At 42.0% G+C, this 3,268-nt stretch overlaps 2 annotated features.

Annotated features, from left to right (window-relative positions):
- Window positions 1,082–1,604: an enhancer, noted in NCBI's record as "NANOG-H3K27ac-H3K4me1 hESC enhancer chr5:116679194-116679716 (GRCh37/hg19 assembly coordinates)". NCBI's record gives its function as "activates a minimal SCP1, AML or CMV promoter by ChIP-STARR-seq in naive H9 embryonic stem cells {active_cell/tissue: H9 hESC(naive)}" and the evidence as "EXISTENCE:reporter gene assay evidence [ECO:0000049][PMID:30033119]".
- Window positions 1,605–2,127: an enhancer, noted in NCBI's record as "NANOG-H3K27ac-H3K4me1 hESC enhancer chr5:116679717-116680239 (GRCh37/hg19 assembly coordinates)". NCBI's record gives its function as "activates a minimal SCP1, AML or CMV promoter by ChIP-STARR-seq in primed H9 embryonic stem cells {active_cell/tissue: H9 hESC(primed)}" and the evidence as "EXISTENCE:reporter gene assay evidence [ECO:0000049][PMID:30033119]".

Here is a 3,268-nt window from a genome sequence, read left to right on the forward strand (position 1 = left end):
GTGCTTCCTTCAGGAGCTCTTTTAGGGCAGGCCTGGTGGTGACAAAATCTCTCAGCATTTGCTTTTCTGTAAAGTATTTTATTTCTCCTTCACTTATGAAGCTTAGTTTGGCTGGATATGAAATTCTGGGTTGAAAATTCTTTTCTTTAAGAATGTTGAATATTGGCCCCCACTCTCTTTTGGCTTGTAGAGTTTCTGCCGAGAGATCCGCTGTTAGTCTGATGGGCTTCCCTTTGAGGGTAACCCGACCTTTCTCTCTGGCTGCCCTTAACATTTTTTCCTTCATTTCAACTTTGGTGAATCTGACAATTATGTGTCTTGGAGTTGCTCTTCTCGAGGAGTATCTTTGTGGCATTCTCTGTATTTCCTGAATCTGAATGTTGGCCTGCCTTGCTAGATTGGGGAAGTTCTCCTGGATAATATCCTGCAGAGTGTTTTCCAACTTGGTTCCATTCTCCCCGTCACTTTCAGGTACACCAATCAGACGTAGATTTGGTCTTTTCACATAGTCCCATATTTCTTGGAGGCTTTGTTCGTTTCTTCTTATTCTTTTTTCTCTAAACTTCCCTTCTCTCTTCATTTCATTCATTTCATCTTCCATCGCTGATACCCTTTCTTCCAATTGATCGCATTGGCTCCTGAGGCTTCTGCATTCTTCACGTAGTTCTTGAGCCTTGGTTTTCAGCTCCATCAGCTCCTTTAAGCACTTCTCTGTATTGATTATTCTAGTTATACATTCTTCTAAACTTTTTTCAAAGTTTTCAACTTCTTTGCCTTTGGTTTGAATTTCCTCCCATAGCTTGGAGTAATTTGATCGTTTGAAGCCTTCTTCTCTCAGCTGGTCAAAGTCATTCTCTGTCCAGCTTTGCTCTGTTGCTGGTGAGGAACTGCGTTCCTTTGGAGGAGGAGAGGCGCTTTGCTTTTTAGCGTTTCCAGTTTTTCTACTCTGTTTTTTCCCCATCTTTGTGGTTTTATCTACTTTTGGTCTTTGATGGTGGTGATGTACAGATGGGTTTTTGGTGTGGATGTCCTTTCTGTTTGTTAGTTTTCCTTCTAACAGACAGGACCCTCAGCTGCAGGTCTGTTGGAATACCCTGCCGTGTGAGGTGTCAGTGTGCCCCTGCTGGGGGGTGCCTCCGAGTTAGGCTGCTCAGGGGTCAGGGGTCAGGGCCCCACTTGAGGAGGCAGTCTGCCCATTCTCAGATCTCCAGCTGCGTGCTGGGAGAACCACTGCTCTCTTCAAAGCTGTCAGACAGGGACATTTAAGTCTGCAGAGGTCACTGCTGTCTTTTTGTTTGTCTGTGCCCTGCCCTCAGAGGTGGAGCCTACAGAGGCAGGCAGGCCTCCTTGAGCTGTGGTGGGCTCCACCCAGTTGGAGCTTCCTGGCTGCTTTGTTTACCTAAGCAAGCCTGGGCAACTGGCGGGCGCCCCTTCCCCAGCCTCACTGCCGACTTGCAGTTTGATCTCAGACTGCTGTGCTAGCAATCAGGGAGACTCCGTGGGCGTAGGACCCTTGAGCCAGGTGCCGGATATAATCTAATTTCCTGGTGCGCCATTTTTTAAGCCCGTGGGAAAAGTGCAGTCTCTGGGTGGGAGTGACCCGATTTTCCAGGTGCCGTCTGTCACCCCTTTGTTTGACTAGGAAAGGGAACTCCCTGACCCCTTGCACTTCCCGAGTGAGGCAATGCCTCACCCTGCTTCGGCTCACGAACGGTGCACGCACCCACTGACCTGCGCCCACTATCTGGCACTCCCTAGTGAGATGAACCTGGTACCTCAGATGGAAATGCAGAAATCACCAGTCTTCTGCGTTGCTCACGCTGGGAGCTGTAGACAGGAGCTGTTCCTATTCGGCCATCTTGGCTCCTCCTTTTTGAGGTGACCTTTTAAGTACATAAACTTCATCCTGTTATTGCATCCCTTAGTCTTAAACCGAATGACAGTGTAACATAGAGAGAAGGCACAAAGCACAGGGTTTAAGTGGGTGGGCTCTGAAGCTAGAGGTTCCTGTCTTCGTTTTGCTCTTTGGATTCTTTGATTTTTTAAGATTATAAACTCAGTAGGCTGTGCTATAAAATGACCTGTTAATAAATATCTACCCATATGGGGTTGTTGTAGGACTAAATGAAATAGCTCATATAGAGCACTTGAAATACTGTTTGGTGCATAGAATCACTTGATATTATTATTGATATCAAAATATTAGAGACTATTATGTCAAATAGGACAGTCTTAACATGGCCCACAAGCTTTCCATCATCTGCTTGTGTCCACCTCTCCAAGCTCACCTCCTGCTGCTCCTTTCTCATTACCCACCAGACACAGTAGTATTTTGTTTTGTGTTCTAGTTTCTCAGGATCAACAAACTTTTTTACACTGCCAAATCTTTGCTATTCTCTCAACAGGGGATGTTTTTGTCAGACGTATCTTTTAGTTTCAACTGAAATGTCCTTTTCTTAAAAAAGACTTCCATGGATCCCTCATTGAAATTACCTCCATCTGTGATTATCTAGCACATTACCATAATCTTCTAATTTGTGGCATGCTTTATAATTTGAATTTATATTTAATTGTATGCTTATTTAATGCCCACCTTTGCATGAGTGTAGGAAATCACGCATGATTGGTTTAATAACTTACCTCACCTCAAGTACTCAACAGAGTGCTTGGCCATGGAAAGTGATTGATAGGTATTATTGAATAAAGGAATGAATAAATGATAATACATATTTAGAAAGCAAGACCTTTTGGATAAATTAGGTATTTGGGTGAGAGGCAGCAGTTGAAACTAACATAAAATATTAGAAAGCCTAATTGAGAAGATACTAACAGGGCAAACAGTTGCTTAAATAATTTGCCTTGGTGATAATAAAGTAGTAGTTTTTGAGTCCTTGTTATGTGTCAGGTATTTGACTAAACATTTAATATATCATCTCCTTTAATTTTTACAAAATTCCTAAAAATTAGGTACTATTGTTAGCCTCCTTTGGCATAGCTTGGATTTGGTAAAACTGACATTTTAACTGATCTATTTGACTTTTAAGGTAAGCTACTCTTAGGAGCTGAATTACACATTTGCTATTAATTTTTACCTCATTTTGAATGCTATCTCATTTAGGCTATTATCTCCTTGTATGAAATATACCAATTTTTAAAAAAATTATTGAAATGTAGTTTAACACAACAAAATTGACATAATTTAAGTGTACAGCTCAAAGATTTCTGGTAAGTGTACAGAATTATGTAATAACCACTATTATGACATAAA

Source organism: Homo sapiens, chromosome 5 (assembly GCF_000001405.40).
Source record: "Homo sapiens chromosome 5, GRCh38.p14 Primary Assembly".
Classification (NCBI taxonomy): domain Eukaryota; kingdom Metazoa; phylum Chordata; class Mammalia; order Primates; family Hominidae; genus Homo; species Homo sapiens.